Source organism: Homo sapiens, chromosome 9 (assembly GCF_000001405.40).
Source record: "Homo sapiens chromosome 9, GRCh38.p14 Primary Assembly".
Lineage (NCBI taxonomy): Eukaryota > Metazoa > Chordata > Mammalia > Primates > Hominidae > Homo > Homo sapiens.
This window is the reverse complement of record NC_000009.12, coordinates 133,150,306-133,167,064: the sequence shown is the minus strand read 5'-3', so window position 1 is coordinate 133,167,064 and position 16,759 is coordinate 133,150,306. Positions and strand designations below refer to the sequence as shown.

The 16,759-nt window shown below is 55.1% G+C and overlaps 1 protein-coding gene across 5 annotated transcripts, besides 3 other annotated features; it reads left to right on the top strand.

The window, feature by feature from the left end:
* Nucleotides 2,956-3,185: a silencer, noted in NCBI's record as "silent region_20450". NCBI's record gives its function as "represses an Ori minimal core promoter by ATAC-STARR-seq in GM12878 lymphoblastoid cells {active_cell/tissue: GM12878}" and the evidence as "EXISTENCE:reporter gene assay evidence [ECO:0000049][PMID:35858748]".
* Nucleotides 2,956-3,697: a biological region, named in NCBI's record as "H3K27ac-H3K4me1 hESC enhancer GRCh37_chr9:136038755-136039477".
* Nucleotides 2,975-3,697: an enhancer, noted in NCBI's record as "H3K27ac-H3K4me1 hESC enhancer chr9:136038755-136039477 (GRCh37/hg19 assembly coordinates)". NCBI's record gives its function as "activates a minimal SCP1, AML or CMV promoter by ChIP-STARR-seq in primed H9 embryonic stem cells {active_cell/tissue: H9 hESC(primed)}" and the evidence as "EXISTENCE:reporter gene assay evidence [ECO:0000049][PMID:30033119]".
* Nucleotides 3,151-14,117, top strand: GBGT1 (globoside alpha-1,3-N-acetylgalactosaminyltransferase 1 (FORS blood group)). 5 transcript variants are annotated; one of them, NM_001282629.2, is made up of 7 exons: nt 3,151-3,311; nt 4,533-4,723; nt 5,533-5,598; nt 11,000-11,050; nt 11,129-11,164; nt 11,753-11,887; nt 12,823-14,117. In NM_001282629.2, exons 2-7 carry the CDS (start codon nt 4,653-4,655, stop codon nt 13,346-13,348), a joined length of 885 nt encoding a protein of 294 aa, NP_001269558.1. In that variant the 5' UTR covers nt 3,151-3,311; nt 4,533-4,652; the 3' UTR covers nt 13,349-14,117. The 5 variants fall into 5 exon arrangements, with proteins under 5 accessions (NP_001269558.1, NP_068836.2, NP_001275502.1 ...); NM_021996.6 differs by having other exon boundaries at nt 12,804-14,117; NM_001288573.2 differs by having other exon boundaries at nt 11,716-11,887; nt 12,804-14,117.

The window sequence follows — 16,759 nt, the reverse complement described above, 5'->3', positions numbered from 1 at the left end:
GGCCCAGCCGGGGATCAATTACAGAGGGTCTGTGCATGGTGGGGAGCCCAAGGGCCTCCCTTGCCTTTGATTATTATATTTTTAAGTCATGGAGGTCTCTCTTGTCTGAGCCAAGGGGTCTCAGCCCAGCTCTGCCGCTAACCAGAAGGGGGACTTTAGCCAGCCCCCTACGAGAGGACATTTCCCCATTCCCTTCATGAATGCAAACCTCAGCCCTCCAGGATTACCAGTGGGAAGACAGGTCACTTCTTTGTCAGCTTCAGAAGATCAAGACCAATTTATGGAGAAACCGAGAGATGAGTCCTCACAAGCCCATTTTCCAGATGAAAAGCTGAGGCCCAGTGAGGGGAATGGTCACAGAGGGACACTGGATAGCCTGGGAGTTCGGACCAAGAGTCCTACATCCCCTCCACCGCCGACCCCACCCAGGCTGGCCCTGAGCTGCTGCACAAGAACTTGCCCGTGACCTCCCGATCCCAGCCGCTGCCCTCTGACCTCCCGATCCCAGCCGCTGCCCTCGCTGAGCTTGGACCACGTGCCTGAGACCCGTCTTTCCTCATTTAAACCCTGCTCGGGGTGGGGGGGGCTCCACACCGGCGGGGAACGTGCTTGTTCACCGTGTGTTCTTAGCCTCTAGAACAGAGCCTCAGGCACAGGAGGCACTTCACATTTATTGAATAAATAGATGAATGAATCAGTGTCATCCTCCCAACAGCCCCTTGAAGCAGGTACTCTTATTTGACAGAGGAGGAACCTGAGACACAAAGAAGTCTTGGTTTCATTCATTCCTTCACTCATTCATGCATCCAGCACCCCTGTTGTGTGCAGACACCTGGAATATGACAGTGAACCCCAGACACCATCCCTGTCCTGAGAGCTCACAGCGCAAAAGCAGGGACAGCATCTCACCCACAGCTAGCAGTGGAAGCGCCGATCTGGGTCCCAGCTTCAGTGGCCCACCACCTCCTCAAAAGATAGTTAAGTAAGGCCAGGCACGGTGGCTCACACCTGTAATCCCAGCACTTTGGGAGGCCGAGGTGGGTGGATCACCTGAGGTCAGGAGTTCGAGACCAGCCTCGCCAACATGGTGAAACCCCGTCTCTACTTAAAAATATATAAAAATCAGCCAGATGTTGTAATCCCAGCTACTCAGGAGGCTGAGGCAGGAGAATTGCTTGAACTGGGAGGCAGAGGTTGAACTGGGAGGCAGTGAGCCGAGATTGTGCCACTGCAGTCCAGCCTGGGCGACAGAGCAAGACTCCATCTCAAAAGATCACGCCACTGCACTCCAGCCCAGGTGACAGAGCGAGACTCCATTAAAAAAAAATTAAGTAAAACATAAATTTTATTTATTTACTTATTTTTGAGACATAGTCTCACTCTGGCACCCTTGCTCCAGCCTCATAGCTTGCTATGTTACCCAGGCTGCTCTTGAACTCCTGGGCTCACGTGATCCTCTCACCCTAGCCTCCCAAAGTGCTGGGATTACAGGCTTGAGTCACCATGCTCGGCCTTAAGTAATATTTAATAAGAGTTTTCTTTAAGTCATATAGAGAGAGACAGACAGAAAAACAGAGACAGAGAGAGACAGAACTGGAAGGCTAGCAGTGACTCTTCTCCCCACTGCTCTTCTCCCACTCTGCCTGGCTTGGATTTGTTCTTTCTGGTTCCCTTGAACACTGCAAGTCTCTGCCTACATTCCTATTTCAGCCCACTTAACTCCCGGATGAGAAAGATGCCCACATCCACCTACAGTGTCTTCTCCCATCTTCCTTTTACCTCCCTTGCCTTTGATTATTATATTTTTAAGTCACGGAGGTCTCTCTTGTCTTTCTTCACCTTTGCACCCAGCCCCCTCCAGGCCAGTGCTGTCTTTAGGCCACATTTTTTCTCCTCTGGGGGTGCAGCGGGGAGGGATGGAGAGACTGCTGGATGGGCCAAGGGAGGGCTGCAGCCAGTAGGCACAGCCATAGGGCTAGGTCGGCCCTGTCTTGCTCACCTTAAAGCTGTATTAGAAAACAATTCCCAGAGAGGCATCAGTGTCTGGAAGGCAGACCAGGGAACTTTGCAAACATAAACTGAGTAAGGAAAATGAATCAGCAGATCCCAGACCAGGTCCCAGGGAGCTAGTGTTTGCAGCGAAAAGGTGGAAGCATGACCTTTTGAACAGCACTCACCAGCTCCCAGGGCCGGTGCCAGGCTCCTGCAGACTGAGAAAACAGGCCCTGCCTTACAGGAACCCCAAGGTGCTCTAGAGAAACCCCAAGGACACAGGTAATCATCACACCCCTGAGGGGCCTGGGAGGCTGTGCCCAGGCACCAGGCAGGGCTGGGTTTCCAACTTCCAGCTGCACTGTGACCTGGAGCACACCCATAACCTCTCTGAGCCCGTCTCTGGCTGGGTCCCACCCCCCACCCCTTGGGTCACTCTCTCTTTTATTTTCCCTTAGGGCCCCTTCATTTCGCCTTACTGTCCCTCCCCTCTCGCACCCTTCCTAGGAGAGGTTTCTGCTACGAAAACTTTCTACCCCATGCACTGGCGGACCTCTGGTGAGCTGCAAGAGGGTCTCTCCTGGGGTCCCAGAGTCCCTGGGGTGGAAAAGAGTAGCCCTTCGTGGAAGGGATAATGCAACCCCGACAGGCCGTGGGAAGAAAGTGTGGCCAGTCCCATTTCACAGAAGAGAACACGGAGGCTCCGGGTAATTCTGGGAGCCACTCACTTGTGTCCCCTCGCTGGGTAGGGGCGCCTGGCTCAGAGGCCCCCAGCAAAGGAGGACAGATCCTAAACCGGACAGCAAGCTGCGTCCAGCTGGTTCTCCCTTTCCGTGACTGCTTCAAAGCTCTTATAAACAAGGTAAGGTTTTCCCCACAAATCGCTTCATTTCTCCACCCGCACCCTACCATGGCCCCGGACCTGCGGTTCTCGGCCCCCCGAGCTGGGCCTGCTGCATCCTAGGCAGAGTTCTAGGCGGCTAGCGGAAGCCAGGCCCAGGGGTCAGCTCAGGCGCTCGGTCCCCCGGGATCCTGCTCCCAGGCCGCAGGGAAGGGGCTCTGGGACCGCAGGGGCGGGGCCTGCGGTAGGTGGGCGGGGCTGCGGCGCCCTCTTTCCCGTCTGGCTTCTCTTTTCTGTCCTCTTTCCTGTCTGTCTTCCTCTTTTCTGTCTGGCCCGCGGCCCCGCTGCCTGCCCTGCTCCAGGCTCCACCTGCGCCGCCGATCGCCCGGGTATCGCGGGGGCCCAGGCCAGCTGAGTCCGTTTTCCGCGCCGGGGTGGCGCCCCTCCAACCGTCCTAACGCCGGGCCGGCAGCAAGGAGTAAGTCTGCACCCCGTAGGGACAGTCGCGCTCCCTTGGCCCCACCCAGTCCCTGCCACGCAAGGGGCCAAGGAGGAGGGCCCTGAGCCCAGGAGGTGCGCATCTCGGACCCAGGGTCCCGGGTCCCGACCACGGACTGGGGCCGGCGGCGCTCGGGGCTGGGCTCTGCGTTCGCGGGAGGCGGGGGCGAGACGGGGCTTGGAGGCCCGAGTGGGGAAACTGAGGCCCCAGAGGAAGAGAGAGGGAGAGGGCTTGCCGGACACTCCCGAGTGGCAGCGGCCTAATCCCCAGGACCCCGGCTCTCCGCTCACTGTGGCCCGGGCTGCGCCCAGCGTTTTACAGCCGTTCCCGCGTGTCCTCCCCCCGGGCGCCGCGTGCCGCCCCCCATCCACTGAGGCCGGGAGCAGGGGATGACTGGCCCAAGGTCAACGAGCCAGCGAGTTGAGGCGCGTTCCCATCGTTCCGTGGAGAACCCGGGCCCTGCCTCCCGGAGAGGTGGACAGCGGCCACCTCGCTCCCCTCGGGGAATCCTGGGCGCCCCTTCCCGCGCATCCTGCGCTGGGACTGCATGTGTCCTCGCTGTGCCTCGGTGCTTGATTTCCAGCGGACGGTGGACTGGCCCATGCACCCCTCCCGGCGGCCTCGGCTCACCTCTGACAATGGACCTAGTACGGAGACGCGGGAGCCAAGGCAGGGATCCGCCTTCGCGGCCTCTGCGAAGTCGGTCCCAGCCCCTCTCCCAAAGGACAGCTGGAAGCAACAGCTGAGCACCGAGCCACTGCCACCGTGCGCCTCCCAGAGCTGCCAGAGCTGAGCCCGGGGTCCAGCGGGACCTAGAGTCCACATGACCGCAGTGGGTGACCGAGGGAGGGCAGGGCTGCAGGGCTGGGGTCACCGTCTCCCCATAAAGAGCATTCCTGGCCCGGTGCAGTGGCTCAAGCCTGTCATCCCAGCACTTTGGGAGGCCGAGGCGGGTGGATCACCTGAGGTCAGGACACCAGCCTGACCAACATGGAGAAACCTCTTCTCTACTAAAAATACAAAAATTAGCTGGGCATGGTGGCTTGTGCCTGTAATCCCAGCTACTCAGGAGGCTGAGACAAGAGAATCGCTTGAACCCAAGAGAAGAGGTTGCAGTGAATGGAGATTGCGCCACTGCACTCCAGCCCAGTTGACAAGAGTGAAACTCTATCTCAAAACAACAAAAGTGTTCCTTTGCAGGTGTTCCTGGGACCTCAGAGACCAGGCTCAGAGCCTGACATCCCTGCGAGGGGACAGCCTCATCCGCCCAGGCCAGTGGGGGTCTCTACAAGTGCCCAGGCTCAGGTGCAGCCCCCAGCAATGCATCGCCGGAGACTGGCCCTGGGTCTGGGGTTCTGCCTGTTGGCGGGCACAAGCCTCAGTGTCCTGTGGTGAGTCTGCCCCACGGAGCTCCCCCTGTCTCTATCCCCACCCAGGACTCCCCCTGTCTCTATCCCCACCCAGGACTCCCCCTGTCTCTATCCCCACCCAGGACTCCCCCTGTCTCTATCCCCACCCAGGACTCCCCCTGTCTCTATCCCCACCCAGGACTCCCCCTGTCTCTATCCCCACCCAGGACTTCCCCTGTCTCTATCCCCACCCAGGACTCTCCCTGTCTCTATCCCCACCCAGGACTCCCCCTGTCTCTGCAGATCAACCCCAAAACCTTGATCTCCTCATAGGATTCCAGATCCCACCAACCCCTCCTGACTCACCTGTTCTCCAACCCCAGCCCCAACAAGACCCAACTAGTGTCTCCGGCTTCTGAATTCTGCCTTGTACTGGCCTCCTGGCCTTTGACTTGCTCTTTTCTCTGCCTGGATCATCCTTCAACCAATGTTGATGGGGAATCCCCGTTCACGCTCCCAAATTCACCCTCTGTTTCTGTCCTTCCATGAAGCTCCTGGGGCTGCCCCTCACCCTGCTGTTTGTGTGGGGGGCCTGGCATCAAGAATATACACTCCCTAGGAATGAATGACTCTATGGGTGAATGAATGACTGCATGGCAGGCCCTGTGACACATGCCAGGAATACCAGCAGGCTTTGTCCTCCAAGGTCAGCCAGACCTACAGAATGACAGGGGACCTGGCCTCCTAATGCACTGTGGGAGACCTGCACTCCCAATGACGTGCATGAGGTGCGTTTTCAGCCTCTGGTGCAGAGTGGATCAACAGATTTTTTTTCTTTTTTTTATTCACAGGGTGTATCTTGAGAACTGGCTGCCAGTCTCCTATGTCCCCTATTATCTCCCCTGCCCAGAGATCTTGTAAGTATGGGTGTGGCTAGGAGAACTGGGGGCCCTGAGGGCTGCTCACAGTTGGGGAGACAGGAGAGTATTTAAGTTCACTTCATCTGCCGGTTCCTGATTCCTAAGTTCATGTTTCTGATAAATGCAATAGTATTTATGTAATTTAAGGGCTGTGACAAGCGTGAAGTGAAATTCCCATTTCGGTCTTCCAGCATCCTTGCAGCCCCCTGCATGGTCTGACCGTCCACATGTTGCACAGCTGTGAGCCTTGCTTGCTGTGTCTGGCCACTGAGAACACAGAGTGCAAAGATGCCCATAAACAGCCTGCTGTTGCTCCCGGTGACCAGCAGGGGTTGTGTTCAGTGCTTTTAGGACTTGACCTTGTTGCTCAATTTTGTGTTCCATGGATTCAAGGAACAAATGAACATGTGACCAAAGTCCTCCTCAACTAAGGAGTCTTTTTTTTTTTTTTCTTGAGTCAGAGTCTCACTCTGTCGCCCTGGCTGGAGTGCAGTGGCGTGATCTTGGCTCACAGCAACCTCCACCTCCCCAGTTCAAGAGATTGTCCTGTCTCAGCCTCCCAAGTAGCTGGGATTACAGGCACCCGCCACCATACCTGGCTAATTTTTGTATTTTTATTTGAGATGGCGTTTCACCATGTTGGCCAGGCTGGTCTCAAACTCCTGACCTCAAGTGTTCCACCTGCCTCAGCCTCCCAAAGTGCTGAGATTACAGGCATGAGCTACTGCATCGGTCCGGTCACCATCATCTTATTCCACCCAGGGACTGACACATAATTTTTGAGCCTCTCTCTCTTTCCCACCACCAATTGCTCTCGGGATTTAGGTTGCTCCCAATTTCCCAGGGCTCTCAGTTAGTTTGTGATGAGCAGCATAACCCTTTCTCCATTTCAAAGATCATTTTGTTCAGATATGTTCCCTTAGTGGCCGGAGGATGTGGATAGGTTCTGATCCAACTCATTGGGTTATTTCCAGAAGGACCACAGCACATCAGTCACTCATTCATGTGCCCTGCCCAAGCAGTACCCAGCAAAGCCACCGTGTAGTACACCTGGGCTACTGCTGGGAATACCAGAGGTTATGAAAACAAAAATGAACCTACCTTGCTGATTGGGAGAGGGAAAATGCTATCCTCTTTGGTATAAATTTTATTTATTATTATTATTATTATTATTATTATTATATTGAGACAGAGTCTCGCTTTGCCACCCAGGCTGGAGTACCGTGGCGTGATCTCAGCTCATTGCAACCTCCACCTCCCGGGTTCAAGCAATTGTCATGCCTCAGCCACCTGAATAGCTGGGATTACAGGCACACACGCTAATTTTTGTATTTTTAGTAGAAACAGCATTTCATCATGTTGGCCAGGTTGGTCTTTGCCCCCTTCGGCCAGGCTTCGCCCCCTCATCGGCCTCCCAAAGTGCTGGGATTAAAGGCGTGAACCACCACCCCTGGCCTTAATTTTTTTTTTTTTTTATTATTACTAGTGAGACTCTCATTTCCCTACGTCTTCCCGTTAATTGAAATTTTTCTTGTGTGAAGTGCTTCTTCCCCACCTTCTCTGTTTGGTCCGTTTGTGGGTTCTCTATCATCACTCTTGGCTAAGTATACCTACAACTTTTTTTTTTCTTTCCAGTTTGTCTATCTTGTGTGTGTGCGTGGCGGAGGGAGATAAGGTCTGGCTCTGTTGCCCAGGCTGGAGTGCAGTGGCACGATCACAGCTCACTACAGCCTTGACCTCCTGGGCTCAAGTGATCCTCACACTTTAGCCTCCTGAGTAGCTAGGACCACAGATACTCACCACCACACCTCCTAGCTAATTTTTTTTTATTTGTTTGTAGAGACAGGGTCTCACTATGTTGCCCAGGCTGGTCTGGAACTCCTGGCCTCAAGGGGTCGTCCCAACTCGCCCCTGCCGGGATTGCGGGCATGAGCCACCACACCGGCCTGCTTTTGTATTCTTGTATGTAACTCTTCACTGCAGCTGGAGTGTGTCTGGGCTTGTGGAGAGAAAAGAGGAGCTCGCTGCCAGGGAGGCACAGAATGCTGGGCTGTTTGGTACCCCTTCTAACTCCTGACCGCTTCTTGGAATCCCAGGGCTTTCTGAGCAGGGCCCTGAAACATGCTTTCTTGTAGGAAACTAGGGCAGAGGGCCAATTTGACGAACTGACTTTAAAAAATTGTTGATTCAAGAGTAGCAACTTGGCTGGGTGTAGCGGCTTATGCCTGTAATCCCAGCACTTTGGGAGGCCGAGGCTGGTGGATCACTTGAGCTCAGGAGTTCAAGACCAGCCTGGCCAACATGATGAAACCCCATCTCTAATAAAAATACAAAAATTGGCGGGGTGTGGTGGCACACACCTGTAGTCCCAGCTACTTGGGAGGCTGAGGCAGGAGAATCACTTGATCCCAGGAGGCTAAGGTTACAGTGAGCCAAGATCACACCACTGCACTCCAGCTGGGATGACAAGGTTACTGAGACTCCATCTAAAAAAAGAAAAAAAAAAGTAGCTACTAATCACAAAAGGACAAAAACTTTATTATTCCACTTATAGGAAGTACTTTCCATACTCAAGTTCATAGAGGCAGAAGTAGAATTATGGTTCCCAGGGGCTGGGGGCGGGGCAACGGCAAGCTGTTGTTTAATGAGGACCGAGCTTCCTTTTGGGATGATGAAAAAGTTCTGGACACAAATGTTGGATGGTTGCATGACAATGTGAATGTACCTAATGCCACTGAATTGTACACTTAAAGATGGCTAAAGTAGTAAATCTTGTGTTTTGTATACTTTACCACAAATAAAAGAGCATAGCCTAGAGGTGGAAGAGTTCAAGGAGGCTTCAGCCACCCCATCATACATGATGTATTGAAACTCACAGGGGACCAGGCAAGGCAGCTCATGCCTGTAATCCCAGCACTTTGGGAAGCCAAGACAGGCAGATCACTTGAGCTCAGGAGTTCAAGACCAGCCTGGGCAACATGGTGAAACCCAGTCTGTACAAAAAATATTAATACAAAAACAGCTGGGTGTGGTGGTGGGCACCTGTGGTCTCAGCTCCTCAGGGTGCTGGTGTGGGAGGACCGCTTGAGCTCAGGCAGTCAAGACTGCAGTTAGCCGAGATTGTGCCACTGCACTCCAGCCTGGGCAACACAGATAGACCCCACCTCAAAAAAGAAAAGAAAGAAAGAAAAGAAACTTACAAGGACCTGGCAGACTACTGTGTCATCAGTGGGTGGGATCCTTATGAGCTTCTGCCTGGGGACAGTCGGCCTCGGGCCTTTTGTTGCTGCTGCTGGCTGGGTGGCCTTTCCCTTTTTTTTGAGATGCAGTCTTGCTCTGTCGCCAGGCTGGAGTGCAGTGGCGGGATCTCGGCTCACTGCACCCTCAGCCTCCCGGGTTCAAGCGATTCTCCTCCCTCAGCCTCCCAAGTAGCTGGGACTACAGGTGCCCACCACCACGCCCAGCTAATTTTTGTATTTTTAGTAGAAATGGGGTTTCACCATGTTGCCCAGGATGGTCTCGATCTCTCGACCTTGTGATCTGCCCGCTTTGGCCTCCCAAAGTGCTGGGATTACAGGCATGAGCCACCACGCCCGGCCGGTCTTTCCCTTCTCTGCACCTCGCTTCCACCTGCTGGAAACACTCTAAGTGGATGGTTTTATTGTCCCCATTTTGTGGATGAGGAAACTAAAGTTCACAGGGTCAACTGTCTGGCTCCAGGTCCCTGGGCCAGTTAGTGGCAGAGCCAGAGGTGAGCCCAGGGGTCTGACCCTACAGCCCTGGCACCTCCTTCATGGACCCCCTTCTTTCTTCTCCAACCAGTTTGACCTTGAAACTGACCATGGAGGCTGCCTGCCAAGACTTGCCCAGGATCCCTCACCTTACTGAGCACTTGCTCCATGCTGGACATGGTCAAGAGCCCCTCACACACCTTGTGTAACTCTCACCACATCGCTAAGGCTAAGGATGGTTTTGCCCATTTTGCAGATGCAGAGAAATGGCAGTCAGTGTTCCACTAGAGAAACAGAACCAGTAAGAGGTAGGAAGGTAGACAGATGGCCAACATACCTAGGAAAATTGACTTATGTGATGGTGAGGCTGGCTAAGCAGCTGAAACTCAGATAGGAGCAGACACCACAGCCCACAGGTGAAGTTCTTTTTTTTTTTTTTTTTTTTGAGACAGGGTCTCACTTTGTGGGTGGCCCAGGCTGGAGTGCAGTAGTGTGATTACAGCTCACTACAGCCTCCACCTCCTGGGCTCAAGCCATCCTCCTGCTTCAGCCTCCCAAGTAGCCAGGACCACAGGTGCACACCACCATACCCAGCTAATTTTTGTTGTTTTTGTAGAGATGAGGTCTTGCCATGTTGCCCAGGCTGGTCTTGAACTACTGGGCTCAAGCGCTTTGCCCGCGTTGGGCCCCCAAAGTGCTGGGACTACAGGTGTGAGCCACCTGGGCTGGCCACCAGTTCTGTTCTTAAGGCCTTTCAACCAATTGGATCGGTCCCACCCAGGTTGTCTAGGATACTCTCTTTTATGTAAAATCAACTGATATAGAATGTTAATCACATCTACAAAATACTTTCACAGACCAGCCTGGGCGACATAGTAAGACCCCATCTCTACAAAATTTTAAAAAATCAGCCGGGGGTGGTAATGAGTGCCTGGCAGGTCCAGCTACTCAGGAGGCTAAGGCAGGAGGATTGCCTACAACTGACCATTACAGTGGGCTCAGGTTAATTAGCTCTTAGCTCACCCGAGGTCCCAGTCACCAGGCCTTTGCAGCTTTTCTTCCTTTTTTTTTTTGAGATGGAATCTTGCTCTGTCACACAGGCTGTAGTGCAATGGTGCGATCTCGGCTCACTGCAACCTCTGCCTCCTGGGTTCAAGCAATTCTCCTGCCTCAGCCTCCCGAGTAGCTGGGATTACAGGCGCCCGCCACCATGCCCAGCTAATTTTTGTATTTTTAGTAGAGACGAGGTTTCACCATCTTGGCCAGGCTGGTCTTGAACTCCTGGCCTTGTGATCCACCCGCCTCCGCCTCCCAAAGTGCTGGGATTACAGGCGTGAGCCACCGCGCCTGGCCCTTTGCAGGTTTTCACATCTTCTTTCCGACAACGAGAGCGACATGGTTGGAAAAGCATCAGCCTTGGGAGCAAGCGGCACTGGGTTCGAATCACTGCCCTGCCACTTACTCTCTCAGTGACCCTGGACAGATCACTTCTGTAGGGGTCCCCAGCTCCTCTGTAGAGTCGGGTGGGGCTGTGGGGGAAGGTCAGAGGGAGCCTGCATGGACCCTGGGTGCCCACCCGCAGGGGCCTCTGACTCCTCCTTCTTCCTGTGCTGAGTGTCTCTGTCCCCAGACCCATGATGATGGCTCTTTCTTGCCTCTGCCACCAGCAACATGAAGCTGCACTACAAGAGGGAGAAGCCACTCCAGCCCGTGGTATGGTAAGGAGACTGGCATTTCCTCTTTTGTGGCCGTGAGGGTGGTGGCTCTCCTCCATCACTGGTCCTTCTTGGTTGCAGGTCACAGTACCCTCAGCCCAAGCTGCTGGAGCACAGGTAGGTGTCATGGAGAGGCCTGATGGGGGCGGGGGAAAAGGACAAAAGAGCTCTGATTTATAAGGTGGGGTAGTGGAGGTGCTAACATCAGGGTGGCCTTGGGGCCCAGAGAGTTAGGGACTGTGGAAAGACACAGGGCTGGGAGTCAGGGACCTGGGCTGTGTGACCCTGGGCAGCGTACCCAACTGCTCTGAGCTTTTTCTGTGCAGGTGGATAGTAGTGCCTAGCTCACTGGAGTTTGGAGGAGCAGATGAGAGGTATTGTAACATCTGCACCGTGCTTGCACTCAGGAGGTGCTCAGGCCATTGTTCATAACAACGTGGTCTTGCCCTTTTTAATGACCCTCATTTATTAGGGGCTTGGCACATATGAATAATGCCAGGCTTCTCCTTGGTGTGCGTTAACTCCTGGTACTCCCAACCCTGCTGGGAGGTGGCTATCATTATCCCCACTTTCCATATGAGGAAAGGGAGGCCCAGAGATGGGGACGAAGCTGCCCCGGGTCACACAGTGTGAGAGCCAGGGCTGGGATGAGACTTAGGCTTTCACAGGGGAGGGTCTCAGTGCCCACGGCCCCCCTGCTGCCAGGCCCACACAGCTGCTGACACTCACACCCTGGTTGGCGCCCATCGTCTCCGAGGGAACCTTCAACCCAGAGCTTCTGCAGCACATCTACCAGCCACTGAACCTGACCATTGGGGTCACGGTGTTTGCCGTGGGGAAGTGAGTAGTGGGCTGGGGAAGGGGAGGGAGGTCTCCCTGAGCCACAGGAGTTTATAGTTGGGAAGAGACCAGACCAGACGTGCACACAGGACCCTGCTGGGCACCCGGGAGGCTCGGAACCAGGTGCCAAGCAGATAGAAAGTACAGTGTAGGGTGTGATAGTGGGATGGGAGCTTCCTGGAGTAGGGGATCTGGCTCTAGCATAGACAGGATGCAGAGTCCAGGTGAGGGGACAGCAGGAGCCTTTGTCAGGAGGCCCCCTTGCCCCTCCCTGTTTCATCTAGACCCCTCCTCTGCCCTTGTCTCTCCCATGACCCCACCTGGCCTTCCTTTAGGAGCTGCCGCTTGGCAGCCTTCCTCTGGGCCTCTGGGACTCCTTCCTGGAACTTCCTGGGGCCCTAAAGCATGACCAGATGATGAATGGTCCACCTAGGGTCAGGTGACCCCCTTGTCCAATGAGTTTTGGCCTGGGGGCAGGGCTGTGTCAACCACACCCCCCTCCATGCCCCCAGCATCTAGCTCAACTTGCCTTCCCTTGATTCGTCCACTTACCTGCTTCTTCACTACTTTCTTCTCTGTGATCCTCAATGTTCCTGCCTGTAAAATGGGCATGCTTATGCAGATCAAAGATCATAAGAATTCTTAGAACGTCGCTGGGCACTTAGAAATTGCTCAGTAAAAGTTCACCTGGCCTAGGAGCATAAGAATCTCTACCAGGAACATGCTTACAACAGCCGTAAGAGGCTGGTACTAGCATTTTGGGAATTGGACAAATGAGGACCCAGAGGGCCAGAGCAGAGTGACATCTTGAGATGGGGAGCTGGTAAGTGGACCCCAGCCTGGCTGACCCCAGCACACAGTGGGGACCCTGGCAGGCTGCTGGTGTAGCAGTGGGTGACCGGGTGATCATCACTAGGTACACTCATTTCATCCAGTCCTTCCTGGAGTCAGCCGAGGAGTTCTTCATGCGTGGGTACCGGGTGCACTACTACATCTTCACTGACAACCCTGCAGCCGTTCCCGGGGTCCCGCTGGGTCCCCACCGGCTTCTCAGCTCCATCCCCATCCAGGGTCACTCCCACTGGGAGGAGACATCCATGCGCCGGATGGAGACCATCAGCCAGCACATTGCTAAGAGGGCTCACCGGGAGGTGGACTACCTCTTCTGCCTTGATGTGGACATGGTGTTTCGGAACCCGTGGGGCCCTGAGACCTTGGGAGACCTGGTGGCTGCCATTCACCCAAGCTACTACGCCGTTCCCCGCCAGCAGTTCCCCTATGAGCGCAGGCGTGTTTCCACTGCCTTTGTGGCAGACAGCGAAGGGGACTTCTATTATGGTGGGGCAGTCTTCGGGGGGCAGGTGGCCAGGGTATATGAGTTTACTAGGGGCTGCCACATGGCCATCCTGGCGGACAAGGCCAATGGCATCATGGCTGCCTGGCGGGAGGAAAGCCACCTGAACCGTCACTTCATCTCAAACAAGCCGTCCAAGGTGCTGTCCCCCGAGTACCTCTGGGACGACAGGAAGCCCCAGCCACCCAGCCTGAAGCTGATCCGCTTTTCTACACTGGACAAGGATATCAGCTGCCTGAGGAGCTGACCACGGAGCTGGGGGTTGCCATGGATGGGGACCCAAAGACCTGCAGCCACCAGTGCTTCACTAGCGTGCAGACCAGCCCTGTCCCGCCTCCCTGTCAGTCAGGCGAATTCAACCGGAAAAGGGACGTGGAAAGGCCACTGTGAACTGCAGAGGGCTGTGCACACAGTAGCACACAGGATCTCACAGTAACGCGGCATGGGAACAGTGAGACAGGGGGAGGGGAGGCGCAGTTACAAAGGCAGGGCCCGGCAGGCTTGCCACGTTCTGCAGCCGTGCCTTTGCGGGGCAGGCTCTGAAGCCTCAGCCCGACTCAGAGTGCCTGAACCCTGCCGCGCCAGTCCCCCGTTTATTGCATATTGCCCTTAACGTAGCATTTCTAATACCCTGGTGTGAAGGCGCCCTAGACCCCTTTTCTCTGGTCACAGGGGTCCTGGGTCCTTTGATGTCTCCCAACCACATGTAGCCAATTCCTCACTCAGGCCCCCAGAGTGAGCCTTTGAAATGGAACAGGTCTAGGCTCCCTCGGTTTCCTGCACCCCAAAGTGAGCCGCACTCTCAGGGGACTAGCCACCTCCTTCTTAAGAGGGTTTGGGGCAGTTTATAATAAAGGGGGCGTGTGCTCAACCCTAGCTAGGGTGATTTTTTTTGTTTTGTTTTTGTTTTTTTTGAGACCGAGTTTCGCTCTTGTCACCCAGGCTGGAGTTCAGTGGCGTGATCTTGGCTCACTGCAACCTCTGGCTCCCAGGTTCAAGCGATTCTCCTGCCTCAGACTCCCAAGTAGCTGGGATTACAGGTGCCCGCCACACCCAGTTAATTTTTGTATTTTTAGTAGAGACGGGGTTTCACCGTGTTGGCCAGGCTTGTCTCAAACTCCTGGCCTCAAGTGATCCACCTGCCTCGACCTCCCAAAGTGCTGGGATTACAGGTGTGAGCCACTGTGCCCGGCCACTAAGGTGGTTTTTACCTGCACATCCAGCCTGCCTGTGTCCCCAGTGTCTGTTCCATCAGGCAGTGGGGACACAGGCAGACTGGAAGTCAAACACAATCGAATAGGGATATAGTTACTCCAGAAAATCTGAGCTAAAGCTAGAGGCTACAACGGACAGGATTTCATTCCAGTTCTCCAGGGAGACTGGGTGAAGTGGAGCATGCTGGCAGAGCCACCACACTCCCAACTGTGTAGAGGGGTATGGAGCCCAGCAGCCGGACAACCCTGGGAGCTCCCGTATCCAGGGTCACTGCAGCCCTGTGAGGTCACCAGTGGGCGTGGGACTCTGAGCCAATGGTGCAGGCCAGGATTAGAGGGCATGGGAAGATGACCTCTCCAGTCTGGATCCAGAAGGACTTCAGAGGCCTACAGTGTGGTTCTGTCTGCCTGGCCACGCAGAGATGGGGTGGGGTATGGGTTCAGGGCTTGGCGGCCTGGTGCTCACCGCCCTGGAGACAGCAGCATCTTTTTCATGGAAGGAGAAGACAGAAAGGAGGGTGGGGTAGACTCTGGTCATACTGGAACGGGCAGGCACCCACCCACTTGGTCACCCGTGGAAAAGCTGGGGCCAGCCCTGAGTTCATTCTTCCTTCACCTGTGGTTTGGCTGGCGAGCAGGGACAGACCCGAAGAGCGTGGACAGATGGAGTGACCAGTTGGAGGAGACAGACTGGGCTGGAGAGGCCTGGAGTCTTGAAGGGGCACTGAGTGCCTCCTGGGCAGAGGGGCAGGAATGGAACCATGGCCTCTGTGTCCCTCATAGGGAGCACCTGCTCCAGGGGAGGGGTTCTGTGCTGAAGGAGTAGGCCCTGCCTCCGAGGAGCTTCTGTTGAAAGCACAGAGAGGGCCATGGAGCGCTGGACTCAGCTGGGTGGATGGCTGGGAGATGGGGGACCTGAGGTGACAGCAGACTCTGAGGCCTGGGCAGCTCCACCTAGCAGGGGAGAAGTCCCCCATACCCCCCTCACCCCACTTACACCCAGCTTTACCCCTGGCACACCCTCCCGGGTGGGAGTCCCTGACTCATTTTCAGTAGAGGAAACTGAGACTCTGAGAGGTCACCATGAGCTTGCCTGTGATGTGGCTCAGCTGCAGGTTTGAACCCAGGTCATCTGGGTTCAAGACTGTGCTCTGCACAGGGTGGGAGGAGTGCAGCTCTGAAGGTGAGTGCATTGTGGAGGAGGATACAGGGAGGGGCAGTGCTGGCAGGGGGCTCTGAGAGGGGCAGGGGCTTGATGGGGTCCCTGGGTCAGGATGGCCCCAGGAGGCTAGAGTTGGGGTATAGGGACCAGGTCACACAGGGTTCTGAATGCCAGGCTAGGAGGCAGGGGTCACCGCAGGCCTGTCCCAGCAGGGGGATCAATATATATGGGGCCCAAGCGCTGGACTCAGGGGATACCTGGCCAGCGAGGCCCCAACACAGGATGAGGCCTCTGATGACCAGCTCGGGGATGAGTGACGGGGAAGAGCCATGAAGTGGGGGTCACCACGCACAGCAGGGCCTGGCCACTTACAGCTGAGTGGCCTGCAGTGCTGGTGCCTTGGCTCTGGTATAAAATTGAATGAAGCCGGGCACAGTGGCTCACGCCTGTAATTGCGGCACTTTGGGAGGCCAAGGCAGGAGGATCTCTGGAGCCCAAGAGTTCCAAACCAGCCTGGGCAACATAGTGAGACTTCATCTCTACATAGTTTTTTTAAAAATAAAAAAGGCCGGGCACAGTGGCTCACGCCTGTAATCCCAGCACTTTGGGAGGCCAAGGTGGGCAGATTACGAGGTCAGAAGTTCCAGACCAGCCTGGCCAACATAGTGAAACCCCGCCTCTACTAAAAATACAAAAATTAGCCGGGTGTGATGGCACATGCCTGTAGTCCCAGCTACTCGGGAGGCTGAGACGGGAGAATCACTTGAACCTGGGAGGTGGAGGTTGCAGTGAGCTGAGACTGTGCCATTGCACTCCAGTCTGGGTGACAGAGTGAGACTCTGTCTCAAAAAAATAAAATAAATAAATAAATCAAAAGGGTTGGCCAGGCAAAGTGGCTCACGCCTGTAATCCCAACACTTTGGGAGGCCGAGGAGGGCAGATCACCTGAGGTCAGAAGTTCGAGACCAGCCTGGCCAATATGGTGAAACTCTGTCTCTACTAAAAACACAAAAATTAGTCGGGCGTGGTGGTGGCAGCGTGCACCTGTAATCCCAGCTACTTGGGAGGCTGAGACAGGAGAATCGCTTGAACCCAGGAGGCAGAGGTTGCAATAAGCCGTGATCTAGCCACTGCATTCCAGC

Coding starts and splice junctions, on each gene's coding strand:
- GBGT1 (NM_021996.6), top strand. CDS start 4,653: ATGCATCGCCGGAGACTGGCCCTGGGTCTGGGGTTCTGCCTGTTGGCG. Junction 5,599..10,999: donor CTCCCCTGCCCAGAGATCTT/GTAAGTATGGGT, acceptor CTCTGCCACCAG/CAACATGAAGCTGCACTACA. Junction 11,165..11,752: donor CCCAAGCTGCTGGAGCACAG/GTAGGTGTCATG, acceptor CCCTGCTGCCAG/GCCCACACAGCTGCTGACAC.